The sequence below is a fragment of the Homo sapiens genome, chromosome 3, assembly GCF_000001405.40.
Source record: "Homo sapiens chromosome 3, GRCh38.p14 Primary Assembly".
NCBI classification, from domain to species: domain Eukaryota; kingdom Metazoa; phylum Chordata; class Mammalia; order Primates; family Hominidae; genus Homo; species Homo sapiens.
The window spans coordinates 181,365,405-181,387,694 of record NC_000003.12 but is presented as its reverse complement, the minus strand read 5'-3'; the positions used below and the strand labels follow the sequence as shown (position 1 = coordinate 181,387,694).

At 34.3% G+C, this 22,290-nt stretch overlaps 1 long non-coding RNA gene across 3 annotated transcripts in view, besides 2 other annotated features; it reads right to left on the bottom strand.

The window, feature by feature from the left end:
• SOX2-OT (SOX2 overlapping transcript) overlaps positions 1 to 22,290 on the bottom strand; it is a 685,549-nt gene that overhangs the window by 354,534 nt on the left and 308,725 nt on the right. The gene's annotated exons all lie outside the window — the stretch shown is intronic.
• Positions 2,014 to 2,514: an enhancer, noted in NCBI's record as "H3K4me1 hESC enhancer chr3:181102969-181103469 (GRCh37/hg19 assembly coordinates)". NCBI's record gives its function as "activates a minimal SCP1, AML or CMV promoter by ChIP-STARR-seq in primed H9 embryonic stem cells {active_cell/tissue: H9 hESC(primed)}" and the evidence as "EXISTENCE:reporter gene assay evidence [ECO:0000049][PMID:30033119]".
• Positions 2,515 to 3,015: an enhancer, noted in NCBI's record as "H3K4me1 hESC enhancer chr3:181102468-181102968 (GRCh37/hg19 assembly coordinates)". NCBI's record gives its function as "activates a minimal SCP1, AML or CMV promoter by ChIP-STARR-seq in primed H9 embryonic stem cells {active_cell/tissue: H9 hESC(primed)}" and the evidence as "EXISTENCE:reporter gene assay evidence [ECO:0000049][PMID:30033119]".

Below are 22,290 nucleotides of genomic sequence, written 5' to 3'. Positions count from 1 at the left end.
AAATCAGAAAAAGTTTCCTAGAGGAGGAGTTTGTGCTGGGTATTAACAAGTGGGCAAGATTTGCTAGGTAAAAACTAGAGAATAGGATTATGAGCTCCATGTTGCATGACTCCAGGGAACACTATTCACACTGTGTTCTGTGGTTGCAGCCTACTGGAGACCTATTCTGAAGATGTATTTTATAATGTGAATAGTGCCCTTGGCATTGTATAATGTGGCAGCCTTGAAAGAATGAGGCAAGAAAATTAGGTTGGCACTAAATTACAAAGGGCTTTGAACACTGCAGCTTATTTCATCCAGCTGGTAATGAGGAGTGTATGTAAAGTTTCTTAGTGTCCTAGGGAGTTGCATGACCAAATCAGCACCCTAGACATATTTATATAGCAACAGGATTAGACAGCGAGGAAGAGATAGTGACAGAGAGACTAATTATGACACTTTTGAATTAATGGCAAACCTGAATAAGTGTAAAGGCAGGGAAAACAAAGAGAAAGGTTTTGACCCAAGAATAATCATCAAGAAAGCCAGGCCTTGCTGACTGGTTATATGTGTGGGAGAAGAAGAGAGAGATTATCATTAGTTTTCTGACTTTTAGAGTTTAAGTGACTCGGAAAGTGGGTACTGATGTTAGAAACAAAAGTCAGAAGAGTCAGTTGGGGCCATTTTAGGCACATCAAGTTTTAGAAGAAAGTAAATCATGCCAGTAGAAATATATTTGGAAATGTGATTGGACCATGTGAACGTCCTAAGAGCTAGAGATTTTGGAGGTCTTCCAACTTGCAGGAAGAGCTGAAGTCACTGGGAGCTCATCCTGAGTCTTGCTCCAGTGATTTTTTGGGGGGTATGTGTCTGGAACTCAGATGAAATTCATCTCCAGGCTGCAGTTCTTTAAATAAAATATGTAAATCCATCCTAAAATAGAGCTTCACCGCCATCATGAGAAATTGTTCTCAATATAAATAGCTAACGCCCTATGCAAAAGGCTCGTGCATGAGTATCAATAATGTTGACAAAATTACTTTCTTAAAAAAAACTTCTATAAGGTACAATGAGTCATAAAACCTTTGCAAAGTAAGTTCATAAATATTGATTAAAGAGATGGCACAGACCAGATGATGGAGCACCATGATTCCTGGATTCTGTAATGTAATAGCAATTACTACCAGGGGTCAATCTCAGGTAAAAAATTAGATTGAAAGCCAGTATCAAAGTTGTTTCTATAATTCTATCATTTTTATATTGTATTCTATATGTCATTTATTTTTATCTTCTAAAAATGTTATTTAAATTCTAAAAATAATATAATGAGATTATATAGAATGAGAGGAGGGAAATGACCCATAATTCCTTGTAATTATTGTTACATTTACATTTTTATATTGTTGTAGTCATTGGATGCATACAATTATGCGTCCTTGTCTTTGTCCCTTAACATTGGTTTTTCTGTATATTTCAAGACAGTCTTCATAGCTATTAGTTTAAATGGCCACCCAAATAAATGCATCAAAACTGATTGAACCATGTTCTTGGTGATGGGAATTTAACTTGTTTCCACTTTTTCAAAACAAATAGTCTCTTATTCAATGTTCTTGTGACTATTTTTCTATATTTTGAATTTTAAAAAATGAATTAAGCTGCCAGAAAGGAAATTACCAGATCAAAGGAAAGCTGTGTTTTTTTATGGCTCTTAATACATATACCAGAATTCATCTCCCAAATTTTATTCTGATTTTCTCTAGTGACATCACAAAGCTACTCTATAGCACCTCTGCTAGCATTAGATATTATAATTTTTAAGTTGCTAATTTAGTATGTGAATGGACGTATTTTATTTTTATTAAAACCTAAATCTATTTTGAAGTGAATGCATTTTCTTTTGTAGCTTTTATTACGTGTGTGTAGTTGCGTATAAATCATTATTTTCCATCATAAAAGTAGTAACATGCATGCATTTCTATCTAAAATTTCAATCAGAACAATGGTGGATTTAGTGTGCATCCTTGGAGGTTTTGTGGCATGTTTTGACTTTTAAAATGTATTCATTCAACGTTTATTGAACACTTACTGTATGCCAGCCCCTGCTGCATATGCTGGGATACAAAGGGTAATAGACAAGGGGGAAAGACATTACACGCACAAGAAACAGTATTTGCAAAGGAATGTGAGGTGTGACAGAAAATGATGTTTTCATAGAACTATAGTTGCTCATTATTTTGGAGATAAAAGGCACTATATCAGTTATCCATTTCGGTGTAACAAACTACATAACAGCTTAAAACAACGCTTTTAATATTTCTCACTATTGGGTGAGTTGGCTGGACAATTTTCATTCTAGCTTTGCCTGGGTACACTCATGCAGCTGCATTCAGCTAGGAGATTGGCTGAGACTAGGCTCAGCTGGGACATCTGGGATGGCTGGGCATCTCTCTTTAAGAGCATATTCATGGAGGCTGGACCAGGCTGCACTTCTTCACATGGTGCCAACAGAGTTTCAAGAGGGCAAGCCCCAATGTGTAAGCATTTCTCAAGCCTCTGATTGTGTCACATGTGCTGATGTCCTAGTGGCCAAGCAAGTCACATGGCCAAGCTCAGCCTCAGTGTGGGAGGGAACTGCAACAGCATGGGGAGCCTGGAAGGTGTGATTCATTGGAAGTTGTTAGAAAAACAATCTCTTACAGTTACAATTAAGGGAATAATGGGCAAAGAGATTAGACACAGATGCCAGATAGCTGCAGCCCTCATGTGCTACACTGAGTTAAGATTTTTTTTGTTGTTGCTGTAGATCCTTAAGAATAACTGGAAGGGCTTCTGTAGTTTTGGAAGTATGACAGGGCTTTGTGTGAAGATGCCCTGCTCTGATTTCTAGTTTTAGAAAGATCACTTAAGCGGTCTTGCATATAGACATGAGAAAATTAGAACACAAATAAGATCATTGTAGCAGGAAGATCATGAAGAGGAGGAAATATGTTTGAGAAATATTTATTAGTAACAATAGTAAGATTCATTAAGCACCAACTATGTGCCGAAGACTTTACGTTTTATCCCACCCATCCTTATAACAATTGTTTTACACAGGTGTAACCAACTCTATTTTATAAGATTATGAAACTGAGGCTAAATAGTCAAGTAAATTCTGAGGTACTTAAGGAAAGTTTGTGGAAGAGCTGGGATGTAATCCTTCATCTATTTGATGCAAAGTCATTGGTTTTCTCACTGTCTCACAGAAAAATGAAAGGCTGGAAAGTGACAGTGTTGAATAGGTAATAGGTCAGGATGGCTGATAAACCGGTGGAGAAAAGCACATGCTTCTCTATCTTATTTATTACTCATGGGGTTAAACTTTCAGAGAGGAGCTGATGTCTTGGCTTCTGGATGCTGGGGTGGAGTAAGGAAGGGCAAAAAGCAGAAAGGAAAAGAGAGAGACTGAACATAATAGCTCAACATCTTTGACACAAACACTGGGGGTTTCTGATGCCTACTCCAGTGGCAGCAAGCTTTGAGCAACAGGACTTGTCCTGGGGAAAGTTAGCAAGTCAAGAAAGTTATTGGTATGATGCAGAGAAGATGGATAAGGAAATGTAATCTAAAATCTGCATTCATTTAGTGACTTTTTTTCTTTTAACACTGACTTCTTACTCCCCTCCTCATTTCTCCCTTTCAAATGGCTCTTTGTGGGTGAGTTACTCTTCTGAAATGCCTACTTCCTTCCTCTTTTGTCTTACTGTCTTGGTCCCTGGGGAGAATGGAAATTAGTTAAGTGTGATGGGTGTTCAGGAGGCAGGCTTTGGTCCTTGGCCAAGAGAGAACTAATTCCCCCAGGAGTAGCCAAAAGTATCAGCTTCACAACTCCCCTTCTTAGAGCTGAAAGGGTTTCTTTGTTTCTTCAATATTCCAAACCAGGGCAGTTACATGTTTTGAGAAATCCATGATTACACCCAAACAAATCTCTCAAATCTATTCAAACATCAATTAACATTTATTAAGCTGTGGAGAGGAGAGTCAGATTGGAGATACATAACGTAGAATAAAACAAAGCCTGTACTCACAATGAATGTATAAGCTTTAGGAGGATAGGGGGCCATCTTGTGCAGGAAGTTATGTCATGTAAACAATAATCATAATGCAACGCAGACTGAAATAAGCACTCAGTAGAGGTATGTAACTTGATGCTGTGAAGAGGGAGAGAAAGGAAAATTTCATGGAAGAGAAGGCATTTGAATGGGTCTTTGAAGGATGAGACGGGGTTGAGAAGAGTGTACGAGGTGGAGGGCACAGTCCGAGCCAAGCGCACATACCTGGAAAGTGCCCAGTGTGGTTGGGGAATGGCTGGATTGTAGAAGTTAAAAATAACAGAATTTTTTTTTTTGGCCAGTATAAGAAATCTCAGGGCTTTTGAAATGAGTCTTTCTTTTTCTCCAATAAAGTGTCCTCTGAAACAATGTCATTCATTCAAAAACTGTCGAAACATCACTAATCTTGTTACAGTACGTAGCTAGTCAGACATGAGCAGGGCAGGAGTGCCCACTCCCGACCCCCAACCAGAATCATTAGGTGACCATCAGGTCATGGTCAGGTGGTTGTTAATTGTCTCTCTAAAATAAGAATTGATTACAGCCAGTACCAGGGAAAGGCAGTCTTCCAATAGACAGAAAAAATCTGAAACTGGTGATCAGCAGCTTCCTGATAAGATCTCAAGAGTTGGGTGAGTGGGCACAAGCATGCTCACTAAGAGGCAAAATGGCAGAGTTTAACTGGTATATGACCCTACTCTAGAAACACTCAACTGATAAGGGAATGCCTCAAGTGAGCATGTGCCCAATTTCAGGTAACACGCTGTGCATGTGGGCCCTCCCAAGTGCCGACAGGCCACTGCACATGTCAACAGTCCACCCCAAGGGAAGAATCAGGGGAGAAGTAACACAAGACCCCAGAAGCATGCCAGCGTATAAAACCCCAGGTCAAAAAGTCAGACTGTGCACTTGATTTCTCAAGTTGCCTGCTTGGCCCTCTTCCAAGTGTACTTTACTTCCTTTCATTCCAGCTCTAAAGTTGTTTAATAAACTTTCACTCCTGCTCTGAAACTTGCCTCAGTCTCTCCTTCTGCTTTTTGCCCCTCAGTTGAATTCTTTTTTTCGAAGAGGCAAGAATTGAGGTTGCTGCAGACCTGTATGGATTTGTCACCTCTTACAATCTTAGATCAATTTATCTTGATTAGTTATATTAATGCAGGCTTATTTTTCATCTACTCCTCAAGGATGTAGCAAACAGGTAACGAAGGGTGGCACATCAAACCACGATCAGCAATTATTTGTTATCTCTGTGTACTCTGCCTGGCACATAGTGTGTAATTATGAGTATTTGTTGCCTGGATGAATAAAGGTTATGGTGTGGTAACAAGCAGCTCCAAAACCTCAGTGGTTTAACACATTACAGGTTCATTTCTTGCTCACGCTACGGGATCAGTACAGGCCAGCAGGGAGGTCTGCTCATACTAATGACTCAGAAACCCATGCCAAAGGAAGTGCCACCTTGACACATGCTCCCACAGTCATCAATACAGGGGAACAGGGACGTGGCAAATCTTCCACTAGCTCTTAACGTTTCCATCCAAAGTGACACAGGTCATTTTGTCTCACATCTCATTGTCCAAAGCAAGTCATATCACTAGACCTGACTTCAAAGAGAGCAGGGAAGATAAAGAGCATCAGAATATTTGTGAACAGCTCTAATGATCACCATACTGGGTCACTCATATGGCTGATTCCTTTAACTAAGCTTTCATCTTATATAAGCACACTTAATAAACATATTTTTGTGAATGAATATTGTGAAAATACTATTGCTTCTGTGTGCATAAGCAAGAAGCTAATTCCTATACCAGATTTTGTGTATAAATAAAATTATTTCAAAATTGTCCTAACAGAATTCTCTACTAGTCGAGCAAATCATGGTATTTTTGCCTCAAATCACTTTAAATCTCTGTATTGTTTCCATGTCAGTGGCAGCCCACTTGGTATTTCTCATCTCTTAAGAGATGATAGCATTTACTCTAAAAACCTTGTTCAGTCATTGAACATCTTGCAGAAAATTTAGCTAGTGTAGACATATGCCTAGTGCTTGTACTAACATTTTCTATCTTCTATTCTGACACTTATTAGATGATTGCTTTAAAGCTATTTTTGAAGAGAGGACTTGAAAGAGGAGAATGGATCAATCACTGTTTAGCCTGCTAGACCCTCTTTGATGTACGGTAACCAAAAGTCATTCTCATCACATCACAGAAGGTTTAGGTGAGGCAAGCTTGTGATCTCAGCTGAATTCTTAATACACGATAGGCTGTCTAGTGTCCCCACACAGGGGATGTAATTCAGTTTATAATAAAAGCTCAGTGCCCTTATTGCTGTTACTATACACAGCAGACTTACTATATATCATCTATTGTATTTTTTTGGATGAAAGAAAAAGTATTAGATTATGCCCTAACTGCCTTTCAATGCCTACTTAACCAATTCATTGCTGCTAATTAGCATCTGGGACTCTAATAGGGCAACACCCTGGGCAATTCCTAGCCTTCCTCATGTCGCAGACCTCCATACGACTATTGTCCCCTTGTGATGAAATGATTATGCCCATTCCATGGTAAACATGAGGCTGTTTTCAAAGAACTTGAAACATGCTGGCCATCTCATTGTATTAGCCATCAATTGGAATCAGAGAATAAAGTAAAATAACATCTAAAGATAGCTTTGTATATTGACCCTTACCGGAAGAAATGCTCAATGGCTGAGAGAGTTCATAGATAACCTAGTTTCTCATCCTCTCGGCCTCTTGCAACGACAACGTACTTGCCACCTCAGCAGACATATTATATAATCAATACTTAGATGGCCATTATTGCTGTTGGGCATAAAAAAATGCATTCAAATGGCAGAAGAATCTTCTGGAGACTCTCATTCTGTCAACCAGGGCAGTCCTTAGGGAGAGTTTCCCTCCAAAAGCAAGACAGCCGGAGGAAATGTTGACAATGGCAGGCAGAGTTTCTAGGGCAGCAAGCCACTATGGGTCTCTTCCCTCCCCCAGCAAGCTCCTGGACATAGAACCAACCTTCACTGATGAATCAAATCACAGTATTGAATCAAAGAAGCATTTGGGATGTCCAAATATTTCTTTTACTATTTTGTTTCAAGGCTTTCCCCAAACTTCCTAATGTCTTGAAGAACAGGGACTGAGCCTTTCCATCATCATAATTACACTAATGAATACTAATTGGACATAAGGAAGTTGAAGATACCAAATTAGAAAAAAATGCTCTGGCATTGAATATGAATGAATGTTTTTCATTGTAAAGATGACTAAAAGAATTTGATATTGCTTAGATAACTTCACTCAAGAACTATAAGCTACACTGCCAACTGGAATGGAGTAGAAAACATTTCATTAAAAAATCATTTAGGGTTTAAGCCTCAATAAGACATTCTTTGAATTAAATTTTTTATTTGAGAAAGTAGATAAATAATTGATTTTTCCAGGGAGTTTGTTTTTATTTTCTAGAGACTCTGAGTAGTTTTGTACAAAACTAGAATTCGATCATGCTTTCCATGATTTATAGAGCTCTATATTAAAAACTTTAGAAATACATATTGATAGAATGTATCTTGTTTACTTTATGAAAACCACAACTGTTAGGGGATGTGGAAGAACAGGCACGTTAAAATGCTAACAAAGAAATCTCACAACTACCCCCCCAACACCAAAAAAATATTCAAGTAAGCATGTGGGATTTGCAATCAGACTGCATCAGGGGGGTCAGAGATCAAAAATAAATGGTGGCCCACAACATGCAGAGCTTTTAAAAAATAATGTCACATTCTTTCATTCTCAGCATAAGAAATGGGCAACTTGTTCAGGGCAAATAATTGTTTGAACTGAGGATTTTATTATTAATCTCTGAAGACTGCTGAATTTAGGGTCACAGTAAGGGTTGATTAGGTACAAGGTGCATAAAGCTCTCCTCTGTCGATGCTATTGAAAGAAGCAAGTAATTTAGATTCAGAATTGGTCTTGGATTGAAGCTCACTCCATTACCGACCATTTTCAATTTCAGCTATACAATAAACATCAAGCTCGGCAAGGAAATTAGTACATTTGGTAATGTATTGGAAGAGATGGGTGGGTCTTTGACAAGATGACACTTATCACCAAAGCTTCAGTTAATGAAACCCTTGAGTGGTATCTGCGTTTGACATATTTTGACATTTTTTGAAATCACATCCAGCGTTTTATCCCCCACAATGTTCTTCTTTACAAGAGAAAAAAAAATCCATCTATCTTTAAAATGAGTACTAGAGTACTGCAATATTATTGGAAAAAAAAATTAAAGAGATGCTGCCTGCCACTGACAGGAAGAACAAGGTACTTTCTCAAAATCTGTAAGGAGCAACAGATTCATCGGAAGCATTTTATTCAAATGAAGTCCACAATACATTTCCAGGAAAAGCTTCAGGTTTAAATGGAACATATGTCATCATACTTTCCCTAAAAGTACCTTCCACTATAAAATGTGATCTCATTAATGCGACTACAAGTTACATTGCTAAAGAAAAAAAAAAAAACAAACAAACAATTTTGGGTACTTATTTTCTGAACAAAATAGTTTTCTTTTTTTTTTTCTTTTTTTTTTTCCTGCAATGGAATGACTTGTACCTTAGTAAAGGTGGGACTTTTGAAAGAGAAAATAATGAAGGGGAATAGAAAATGAAGACCATCTTCAAAAAATTTTTTAAAATTGAGAAAAAACTGCATGGGAAAATATAGGTAAAAAATAAACAGTGGAAAAGCAGGTAAGAATGACGGCATTGAGAATGAACAATTTCTGGCCTCAAACTAGTTCTGACTAGATCACAACCCATATTCTCTCACTAGAGTTCTCACGTTTATGTATAATTAAATGCTATTTTATTGCCAAGTGGCCTAGATAATGAAAAACCAGAAAAAGAAGAAAATGCTTCCAAAGTGACCGAAAATTTAGGTTCACACATTCTGAGGAGTGGTTTTTGTTATTTACTTTTTAGTTTTTTTCTGAAAGCTGGGTGAAATTATTATGTATTCAGATATTTTAAATCTCATACAGCTCTATTGTTCATGCTATGTTTTTCATCCATTGCTGGGAGAACAATTGTAACAAAAAATACAAAGCGTTCTAAATGGGGGGGCCTTACTGAACCCTACAGGACCCGGGTGGCACTTGCAGTGTGGTAGGCCCAGCCGGGTGGTCCCTCTCATCCATCATTTACCCACCACGAGGAGGAGGTCACCTTGAAGTTTGGACTGGGGGATAGGGGAGAGAAAGAGCACGAGGGAGGCAGAAAGAGCAGGGCAAGGAAAGAAAAAAGCTGCTTTGTACAAGATAGATACCCTCGAAGAATTCAGAACACAGAGGACTCTTTTTAAACCTCTACTCTGTAGGTGATTTCTTTAAACCCTCTTTAAGACCCCTACCCTTCCTCACTTCCATAATCCAAATTTAAAACCCCAAATCCTGCAGTTAAGGAGGGGAAAAAAAAAACCTCTGTATTAGCTCCTGGTCTTAATATTTTCATCTCAAAAAGCTGCATTCGGCATTTTGCTGACTGCTGACTCTCATTCCTACCCCCTAAAATAATAATTTTAACATTTTGTAAAACACAATGAGCATTGTAGAATTGTTCAGTCGTCTAATAATCCAGGTTTTGATGATGATTTCTACTGTTCCGTATTCATCTGCATCCACCCTACAGGTGTGGTAAATTAGTTGAGTGAATTGGGTTTAACTAAAATGACATGTCATCTGACCTCAAGAATGGCATTATAATTTAGCTGTTTTTAATGTCACAGGTATGGCCTTTTAGACAAGCATTCTCCCTAGGAGTCTTCTATTTTTCCAATTTTAATAATAAAATTGAAATGACTAAACTTTGAGTGAGAGGCTATTACTGTATTCAACGATGCTATTTAGCTGGGAGGCACTGGAATGACCAGACAGGCTGTTCATAGCTGGTGTCCATTCTGATGGTTGGCATCCATGCAATAGCAGTTGTTAAATATTTTGTTACATATGAAATATTTACCAGAATGGTTGGTTCACTAACGGAGCACTTTTATTATATTCATAATTGATTAAAATGTGCAGATTTGTTTAACGTCCACCCATCCTCTCCAATGCTCACCTCTTGAGCGAGTAAGGGACAATTTTTTTCTCTGCTTAAGGCAGTTCTTGCCATGTAGTAGCCACTCAAGAAATATTTTTTTTGAATGACCGAATTGGGGATTGCCCACATATTCACATTTTAGGAGTTGTCACAGCCCTAGAAGAATAATCACTTTATTCTCTTTGTAGGATTACTTGCTTGTTCTTTCAGAGTAATTCTGGCATTCAATAAATTAAAAACTAGAGGAACATTTTTCACTGTGAATTGTTATTTGATCTCCCTGTTTTTCAGAATGATATTTCTGTGATCAACTCTGTCCGATGTGCTGTAGTTCAACATCTTTAGAATTAAACCTCCAGTCTTCTGCAGGGTGGAGAAGCAGCTGTAACAGCTTGCTTGAGGTGAAGGAGAGGATAGGGTTTGGGTAGAGGGGAGAAGTTGCAAATTACAGGATTTTTAATTCTCCTGTTTTTAGCATTAGCTGAACACAAATATTCAGAGAGACATTGTGCCTACAATTCCCAAGTTTTTCTGGAGTAATTTGATTTAAATCATCTTGAATCTGGGCTTCCCAAGCAGCCAGTCTACATTCTGGCTTTCTCTGGACTGTTAAAATTTTATTATTTCTCGTCTCTCATTTTCCCTCTCTTTATGTTGTTTTAGTCTTTCTACTGTCATTTTAGTGTGGTTTTTGGAAGAAACAGAGGTCAAAGTATTTGGTAGATTTATTACTTTATAGGTTTGCTATATTTTTTCCATATTATAATTATAAAGGGATACAATAGATTGTATCTACACATATGAAATATTTTTATATATGTAATATATATAGGTATGTACATATAGTAATCCCTTGGTATCTAGGGGGAATTGCTTCCAGGGCTCTCATCCTCCCCTTACCACTTTCCAAATAACAAAATTCATAGATGCTCAAGTTCCTTACAGTCGACCCTCTATATCCCAAGGTTCTCCATCCATGGATATGGACAGCTGACTGTACATGCATGCATGCTCATACACTATATATAATACAATCTATCTGAAGTATATGCAAAGTAAAAGAATGATAAAAACAAACACCCATACACACCACCAAACTTAAGAAATATCCCATGTGTTCCTCCTTGTATTCTCCTGCCCTCCACTAAAGGTAACTCTTATCCCAAACTTTGTGTTTAAAATTTCCTTGCTTTTCCTCTCAGTTTTCTTACTTATGCATATTCCTTTCTCAGTCTGCTTTTGCTAAGTTATGCTACAGTGACAATATATGCCAATAACTGATTTCTTTCTCAAGTACATACTATGTGCAGGTTGGCTGTGTCTCTGTGGGTCAGTGTTGCTACTGCTTGGTGTTTTCCTCACTCCAAGACTCAGGCTAAAGGAATAGCCCCTATCTCAGTCTCATTGTAAAAGAAAAAGAGCAGTGCAGAACCATGTGATGGCTCTTAAAACTTCTGTTGGAAACACATCACATCATGTTTCATTGGTCAAACCTTTTATCAATGGAGAATCTGTATCACAGAGAAGGAAAATAAAGGTACATGGCAAAGGACAAGGATGCATAATTCCCTTACAAGAAATGATGGTGAATAGTGGGAAGCAATAATAAAATTGACCATAGTCTGTTCTCTTGGGCATGAAAATTCATTTCTTGCCCTTCTACACAATAACATAATCCCCCATCTTCCAAGTAAATAGCTGAAAGGATGTATTCAACCACAGCATTAGATTCCAGGACTAGGATTTTGTCCTAGCTTTAACATCAGGTCCAGATACAGCTCTTCTTCACCTAGAGACAAATGAACTAAAACTAAAACCTATGTGCCAAAAATAGCAATTCTGAAATCCCACTGGGCAAACATTGTGAAGGCCCTCTAACATGGGCAGAAGAAATACTTCTTGATTAGGCTCATTCTGTTCTCTGTGACTAGCACCACAGTGCATGGTTATAGATGACTCTTGGCTCCACCCTCTGGGCGGTTCTTCCTTTTCTATTATCCTCACTGGGCCACATCTGAAAAGGGCACTGGAAAATACTGTCCCTTGGAGGCTAAGATTTTCTTGCTTCCAGCTTTTAGACTTAGAACAGACACAGTCTCTGTCAATCTAGGTTGATGGCTCCTTGGGTTGTATGATCCTCTCAACAAATTCAATTCCATTTAAGACATGCCTTTCTTTCTCCAGATTTAAATTGATATTTTTGAGCTTACCAGACTTCCGTGGAGGAGCTACACCATTAGCCTCTTTTGAGCCATTTTGCACACCTGAAAAGATTTACCAGTTGCCACTATAATCAACTAAACAAAAGGCACTCCTGATATCCTGGATTTGGTCTATGCCTCCCGCAAACTGAGTTTTAATCAGCTTTTGTCACTCAAAAATATTCTTAGTTTTACTTTGGATGTGAGAATAAGTTGAATCTTTCAAACTTCTAGGTCCCCAACTTTCTGACCTCCTTTAGTTTCTTTTCATCTTTTCTTACAAATTGGTCAATTCTTTTGTGGGCTCCTAGTTTTTCTGTACCACCATGTCGAATGCAGCCAACAGCAACCAAGACATGCTAGTACTATTCTGTCTTCCAATCTCCCTACCTAAAGTCACACGGTCATTCAATATATTATCTGCTTTGCATGTTATTGCAGCTAAAGTTTCATTAAGTGTTTCACCACTGCATAATAGATTGCCATGTTTTATCCTCTAAAATCAGTTTCTTTGCTACCTACCACTCTGCCACAAAGCCAGTTGCACATGTTTTAGAAGTTTTGTTATGGTAGCATTGACTTTGAGGTAATAATTATGTAAATATCAATTGTTTACAAAACCAAAAATTATTTCTTGCTCACATTACATAGTTGGTGGTGGATTGTTTGAAGCTTTATTTCCTATGTCCTCTTCCAGAATCTAGGATGAAAAGAGTAGCCTTACACCAGAACATACCATGTTTGTGGCAGACAGAGGAGGGTGACAGTAGAACCATGTGACTGATAATTCTTAATGCTTCTTCTCAGAAGTGACATTTATTGCATCTGCTAACACTTTCTTGACCAAAATCAGTCACATGGCTGAGACGGACATCAGTATTGTAGGAAGTGCTACCCACAACAAAAGTAAAAAGGATAGTGAATATTTTGAGTAAACAGTATGATCAGTCATAGTCCCTGAACATATTATATTGCTTTACATGTTTTTTAACTTTATATTTAAAAATCATAAAATATGTATTATTATGTAACATTTTTAGAGTTCAAGATTTTATTCATGACTTTCATCCGTGTTAATGTGTATGATGTTGTTTAGTCATCACTGCTTTATAGTATTCCATTGTTATAAATATATGAAAATTTACCTATTATAGCAGTTTCCAGGTTTTTGCTATTTTACATCATGCTGAAAAAAACAGGTATGTCTTCCAATGGACACATGAAAATGTTTTTTAGAATATATGCAAGGAAGAAAATTTTTTAGTTACATAGTTTTACATATCTTAAAATGTATTAAATAATGCTGAATTTGTTTTATACTGCAATTATACCAATTTTTTTTTCAGCCAGGAATATTTAAGGATTCCCATTGTTTCACACTCTTGACAGCACTTGGTATTGTCAGACTTCAACACAATTGCCAGCCAAGTAGGTATCTCACTGAGACTTATATTTGTCTTTCTCTGTTCACATATTGCTTTTGTCTGTGGGACATTCATATGTCCTCTTCTGTGAAATGTCTATATATCCCTCTGGCAGATATTTTTATTGAATTATTTGTAATTTTTGTATTGATTGTTAGGAGCCATTTAAAAATATGTATACATTTTCAATACTATTCTTTTGTTCGTTGCATGTGTTCCAAATATATTCTTCAAATTATGATATGGCTTGATCTTCTACTCTTGAAATGGTGTTTTTGATGAATAGAAGTTTTAAATTTTAATGTAGACAAGTCCGTCAGTATTTTCCTTTGTAGTTAGTGCTTTTTATATATCTTGTATAAATAATTCTTGCCTACATCAAGGTCATAAAAATAGTACCAAATTTTCTCATGAGAATTTTAAAATTCTGCTTTTCATTATGAAGTCTTTAATCCACTAAAAATTTATTTATTTATGTGTATGGTGTGAGATATAAATTAAATTTTATTTTTTCAACTTGAAAATCAATTGTATACCTAACTTTTATTGTATCCTATTTTTAAATTACAATTTCTTTCTTTCTTTTTTTTGAGACAGAGTATCATTCTGTCACCCAGGCTGGATTGCAGTGCTGTGATCACAGCTCACTGTAGCCTCCATCCACCTTTTGGGCTCAAGTGATCTTTCCATCTCAGCCTCCCAAGTAGCTGGCACTACAGGTGTGTGCCACTATACCCAGCTAATTTTCTTATTATTTTTTGTAGAGATGGGGTCTTGCTATGTTGCCCAGGCTGGCTTTAAATGCCAGGGCTCAAGTGATCCTCCCTCCTCAGCTTCCCAAAGTGGTGGGATTACAGGAATGAGCCACCAAACCCAGCCAAAATTATAATTTCTAATTATTTAAAAATGGAATAGATTCTTGCGCATTGATCTTATATTTGGTAACCTTTCCAAAATCCCCTACTAATACAAAAAGTTTGTTTCAGATTTATTTTTAAAGAGTTACATCACCTGTAAATAAGAGCAGCTTTGTTTCTTGCTTCCCAATCCTCTTGCCTTTTATTGTATTGTATTAATTTCTTTTTCTGATTTACTTATGCTTTCAACATTTCACCATTAAACATCATGTTTGTTGTAGTTTTTTCTTTTTCTCCTTTATGCTGTAAACATGACAAACTATATATTTTTATATATATTATATTTTTCTAGCATTATATTAACCTTATATTTATGGATATATTTAACTTGGTAATGGTTTTTAATCTTTTATATATGGGTGGAAATAGTTTGAGAATATTTTATTTAGGATCCTAGCATATTTGAGGGAGATCTGCCTATAATTTGCCCTTCTTGTATTATTCTACCCCTTATCATTGTTTTCAATATTAAATCTATACCAGCTTCATAAAATGTGTTAATGAGCATTTCATATTTTTGTAACCTATGGATAGAAAATTGGAATTGTCTGTTGCTTACAAATTCATCAGAAGATACTTAACAACCTAGGTCTGTCTCTTTTTTTTCTAAAGATTATTGATTGTTGATTTAATTTTTGTATGGCCATTGACCTATGTAGTTCTGCAGTCCTTCTGAGTCTGTTCCAATAAAATAAAATTTTAAATTTTCTCTTCTTTTACTTAAGTCTTCAAACTTCTTAGAATAAAGTTCTTCACTGTATCCTCTTATTTACTTTTAAATTTCTGTTTTATCCATAGTTATATCCTCTTTTTAATCCTTATGTTTTATTTATCTGTCCCTTCTCATTTTGCTTTTTCTTAATTAATCTTCCTAGAGGCATATCTGTTTTACTGATCTTTTCAAATGATCAATTTTTGGCTTTGTCTTCTGTTTTATTTTTTATGATGCAACTTCTATAAACTTTTTAATATCAAAATTATTCATAGAACACTGGTATGGGCAAGGCTTCGATGCAACAGTTTTCAGAGGTGGTAGCGAATAAGGTAACAGGATATATATCTAGCAAACAACTTGGTTGCATCAAAAACAAAGAATATGACTTAGGAGCAGATAATTCTTATCCTTGTTTTTCAGTTGGCTGGAATCTCTTAGGTACTTTTCTTACTGATTTCTCTTTTTAACTATAAGTTTAATATAGGAATTGATTTAGAACCCTATAGAGTTCTCTGATTGAAGGTTATATGATAGGGCTGTTTGTCTAAATTTAGAACATTTGTCAAAATTTTCAAAACATTTTCAAAACAAAAATGTCAAAATTTCAAGTGAAAGTGGCAAAGTAAGTGGATGGCTTAGGGTCTGGAAGCTGCATATGGTTTTACAAGTTTTAAGAAATGTTTCTAGTCCAAAGTAAAATACAAAAAAAAAAGTACTATATATATAACATAATAAGACAGTTTTTATATTAAAAACAAGTGTGAAGGGAAAAGCAATATAGAAAGGGTAAATTATGGGCTAATCTTATTGAAAGATGATGAGTAGACATAATAAACACTCCTGTTTGGGGATAAAACCACAAAGGAATATATTTTAAGGAACAGGGTAAACAGGAAGTAGACAAGTTCTTGCAGCTCAGTCTTGAATTATCTTAATCCTTGAAGTAAAATTAAAATAATGCCAGATTGCTAGAGCCTTCAGGCATTCAGGAGGGCTTGTACCCCTGGATGGTTTGCAGAATCCCTCAGATGCCTTTCTGAAGGAAAATAACATTATCTTGGGCACCAAATTATTTCTAGAAGCAATTTTAAGCTATAATATAATGTTTGGCACAACTTTTTTAAACAGCTCAATGAGGAGCAAGACAAGATGAGCAAAACCTAGCAGAAACCACCAGCAATAGAATTATTCCATAAGGGCTTCCAAAATTGTCATAATTAGACAAAGACTTTGTGGTTCACGCCTGTAATCCCAGCACTCCGGGAGGCCGAGGCGGGCGGATCACCTGAGGTCAGGAGTTGGAGACCAGCCTGGCCAACATGGTGAAACCCCATCTCTACTAAAAATACAAAAATTAGCTGGGCATGATGGTAGGCGCCTGTAGTTCCAGCTACATCGGAGGCTGAGGTGGGAGAATCACTTCAACCTGGGAGGCGAAGGTTACAGTGAGCCGGGATTCTGCCACTGCACTCCAGCCTGGGCAACAAGAGTGAAACTCCGTCTCAAAATAATAATAATATGATATAATATAATAAAATATATTTGCTTACCATGTTCTAGAAGATAAAAGACAAGATTAACAATTTTTTTTGCAAAGAAAAAAGTAAACAGAAACTCTAAATCTGAAAACAAGAACTGAAATTAAAAATTAAATTGATGGGTCTAATAGATCATATACAATTACGGAGATACTTAACTGGAATATTCTCAGCAATATCTGTCAAAATAAAATGATAGAAAATACAGAGAAGAAGGTAAAAGATGTAGAGGATACAGTGAGAATTTCTAATATTTTGAGTTCTAAAAAGAAAAGAGAGAAATAAGGCTGAAGAAAAAGAGGAGAGATATAATCAGGCTGAAACAAATTTTGAAGTGAGAATAGCTGAGAACTTTCTAAAACTGGAGAATGACATCAAGCTACAGATTTACAGATTTAAGAACCACACAAATACCAGGAAGAATAGCTGAAAAACAAATCTACACTGAGATGCTAAATGATAAAAATGTGGAAACCCCAAAATGGAGAAAAAATTTTAAAGTCAGTCATAGAAAGACGTTATCTTTAAAAGGGCAACAATAGACAGACAGTTAACTGCTCAGCAGAAACAAAGGACCTCACCTAGCAATGAAATGATATCTTCAAAGTGTTAAAGAAAACATCTGTCATTTTTATATCTTCTGAAATTGATGGTAAAAAAACATCTTTTTAGATTAACACATGAGATAATTCCCCAGTAACAGACATGTTAAAATAAATACTACACAATATTCTTTAGGCAGAAGGAAAACAATCCACAGGAAAGCCTGGAAAGGTAGGAAGAATTGAAAAGCAATGGAAACACTAATGTAATAAGGCGTCTGGCTCCATGTTTTGATGTTTGACTGCTGAAAGCTTTTAAGCTTCATTCCCTCCCTCTTCTTCCGTTCCACGTCTGAGCAAGCTAATAAAAAAGCCTGGGTACTCCCTCCTTTGATGCCAGTGAAATATTTAAACCATGCAAACCTCTACTTATGCAGAAGAACCCTCATCCCAGACCTACTCTCTAATTACCATAAAAACCAGTCTCCTTTTCCTAATCTCTCAAGATATCTTTGGACTAATTTGGGAGGTCTGTCCTGCTCTCCCCAGACTAATAAACTTTTTCATATTCTCTTGATATGTGTGTAGCATAATCACTTTCAACCTCCAAACCAAAATTTGGGTGAGGTGCCATCCCACTTCTAACGTGTGGCCACAACAGCTAGTAAGTGAGTAAATCAAAATAATTATTGACCATGCAAAGAATCACAACAGTGTTTCGTTGAGTTTTTAATATGTATACATAAAATACAAACTAATGATATTTATTTCAAAATGGAGAATAAATGGAATTAAATTATTCAAATTAAAATAGGAATAAATAAAATTAAATTATTCTAATATTTTTTATCTATTTGCATCATCTGGGTAGAGTTTCAAATAACCAGTTAGTATTAGATTTTGATAAGTAAAAAGCATATGCTATAATTTCTAGACTAACTACAGAAAGAATAGTAAGAGTATATAGCTTTTGAGGAAATAGAGGGAATATGGAATAATTTGAAAAATTATCTATCTAAACAAAGGCTAGAAAAAAGAGGAAAAAAGCAAAGCGGTAAGGAAACAGAAAGGACACAACAGAATGGTAGATTTAAGTTCAAACATATCAGTAATTACATAAATATAAACAGACTAAGTATTCCAATTTCTAAACCTATAAAGACAAACATCACTAACTGCATTTTAAAATTATGATTCTGTTTACAAGAGACATGTATAAAATATATAGACATAAAAGGATGTAAAATATTTGCCAAACAAAAATCAGTGTAACCATAATATCATATAAAGTGGTGTTTAAGCAAAAAGTTAAAAGGACATTTGATAACAATTCTGTATTTGTATGTATCTAATAAAATCGCCTTCAAATAAAGCAACAATTGACAGCAAAAAGAGATAGAGAAACCCACAATTATAGTGTAAGATTATAACATGTATCTCTTTATAACAATTAAGCAAGCAGACAGAAAATCAATTAGGATACAGTAGAATAACACAGAAAGCAAATGACCTAATTAATATGCATAAAAGGCTATATTTTAAACCTAAAAAATACACATTTTTTCAAGTACATTGGAACATTACAAAAATTTATTATATAATTGGCCACAAATTGAGGTTCTACAAATTTTAAAGAACTGAAGTTATAGAGTATATCTGTGGTTACAAAGTAATTAAGTTGGAAATTGAAAAAAAAATGTTGCTGGAATATTCTTGCGTGTTCAAGTAAGCCATGATTCAATGAAGAGAACATATTGAAAATTATAAAATAATAGGCAGAGGCAGGAGAATCGCTTGAGCCCAGGAGTTCAAGACCAGACTAGGCAACACAGTGAGACCCTGTCTCTATTATTATTATTATAAAATAATGAAATTACTAAATATCAAAATATCTAGGATGCAGCAAAAGTCATGTAGGAAAAAACTTTAGTGTGTTGGAAGTATGTATTTTTTAAAATTTCATAATCAATAAACTATGCATCTATCTCAAAAAATTAGAAGACAACAAAACAAGATCCAAAGAAAATAGAAAGAAGAAGAAATAAAGTTAACAGCAGAAAGCAATGATATTGAAACTGAACAATAGAGAAAATCAATGAAATTCAGGTATTGTTCCTTTGAGAAAATTAGTAAAATCCAAATACGTACATTGCTATTAATGAAGAAAAAAGGAAAAGGCACAAATAGTAATAAAAACAAAACATCACTACAGATTGTATAGACATTGTAAGATTACAAGAGATCATGAACAACTTTTTCCCAAATGAACTTGAAAATGTTGACAATGAAAATGTCTAACAATATTACTTTACAAAACTAACACAAGAGGAAATATAAAACTTGAATAGTCCTATACTCTTTCATATTACTCTTTTTATTTAATAGTGAATTCAACCAAACATTTAAGGAAGAAATAAATTCAAACTCTTCCAGAGGCTACAGAAAGGGGAACATACTGTATCTTCTTTAACAAGACCAGAATAACTTTGATATTAAAATCTAACAAGGATATTAAGAGAAAAAATTACAGATAATCACACTAATGACTATAGATATAAGAATTTCAAACAAATTGCTAGCAAACTGAAACCAGTAATATGCACTTACTAGTTTACCTAGGAACTTGAGATTGGTATATTAAAACAGTGATTGGTGTAATTCTTTACATTAGCATAAAAAAGAAAAAAGTCATATGATCTAACTAGATGGAGAAAAGGCATTTGATAAAATTCAGCAACAATTCATAAGTAAAAACCCTTGGCAAACTAAACCAGGAGGGAGCTTCCTTAATTCAATAAAGGGCATGTAAAAAAACAAATAAACACAAACAAGTCAAACAACAACAAAATTTCTATATGAAAACATCAGCTTAATAGTAAATGTTGAAAGCTTTTACTTTGAAATCTGAATTTGGACTAGAATGCCAGCAGTCACTCATTTTATTTAACATTGTATAGGTACACAATGTGACAAGGCAAGAAGAAATATAAGCAATGGATTTAAAAAGAAAAAATAAAAATATTATTCACACAAAAGTATGACTGCTTACATTAAAAAAATCCAAAAAAAGGTATATATAAAATTTCAAAATGTATATATGGGTTACAGAAGAACGTTGACTATAGGTTAATATAACCTTTTTTTAAAAAAAAGAAGTACACTTTTTATGCCAGCAACAAATATTTAAAAAACAAAACTTAAAAAGTTTACATTTATATATAAATGTTATATGTAACTATAATATAAATATACATATAATATTATATGTAACTATAATATAAATATACATATAATATTATATGTAACTATAATATAAATATACATATAATATTATATGTAACTATAATATAAATATACATATAATATTATATGTAACTATAATATAAATATACATATAATATTATATGTAACTATAATATAAATATACATATAATATTATATGTAACTATAATATAAATATACATATAATATTATATGTAACTATAATATAAATATACATATAATATTATATGTAACTATAATATAAATATACATATAATATTATATGTAACTATAATATAAATATACATATAATATTATATGTAACTATAATATAAATATACATATAATATTATATGTAACTATAATATAAATATACATATAATATTATATGTAACTATAATATAAATATACATATAATATTATATGTAACTATAATATAAATATACATATAATATTATATGTAACTATAATATAAATATACATATAATATTATATGTAACTATAATATAAATATACATATTATATGTAACTATAATATAAATATACATATAATATTATATGTAACTATAATATAAATATACATATATTATATGTAAATATAATATAAATATACATATATTATATGTAAATATAATATAATATACATATAATATTATATGTAAATATAATATAAATATACATATAATATTATATGTAAATATAATATAAATATACATATAATATTATATGTAAATATAATATAAATATACATATAATATTATATGTAAATATAAATATACATATAATATTATATGTAAATATAATATAAATATACATATATTATATGTAAATATTATATATAAATATACATATATTATATGTAAATATTATATATAAATATAAAGAAGATGAGTAGGACATCACGAAAAAAGACTACGAAGAAGAAAGGAAAAATGAACTGATAAAGTATCACTGAGAAAAACTGAAGAAGACCTAAGTAAATGCAGAAATATATCATGTTCATGGGCTCAACAACTCACTATAGTAAACATGTCAATTCTCTTCAAGCCTCTATAAATTCAATGCAATCCAAATAAAAATAGTTACAGTGGTGTTGTGTGCACATGTACATGTGTAATGCTGGCCAAGGTTATTGGTGGGGTGTAGGAGCTAGCTTATACCAACTCATGAGGTGCGCCAGTTCATACTAGCTCACACCAAATCACGGGACCCGACTGTTGAATATTCAGGAATCTTTGAACTGATTATTAAACCACTGTGGCTTGAAATCACCCACTGTGGGAGTGGTTACCCCCATGGAAATTTGCAAACACTACAAATCAAAGATTTTTTCCCCCGAGAGTCAGCTTGCCAGCGCACCAAGCTTATTCTAAAATTGACATGAAAAGGAAAAAACAAAAAACATAAAAACAAAAGAATAGTTAAGACACATTGAAAAATAAAAATAAAGTGAAAAAATGTGCTTTACCAGATATCACTACTTATTATAAAGCAACAAGAATTAA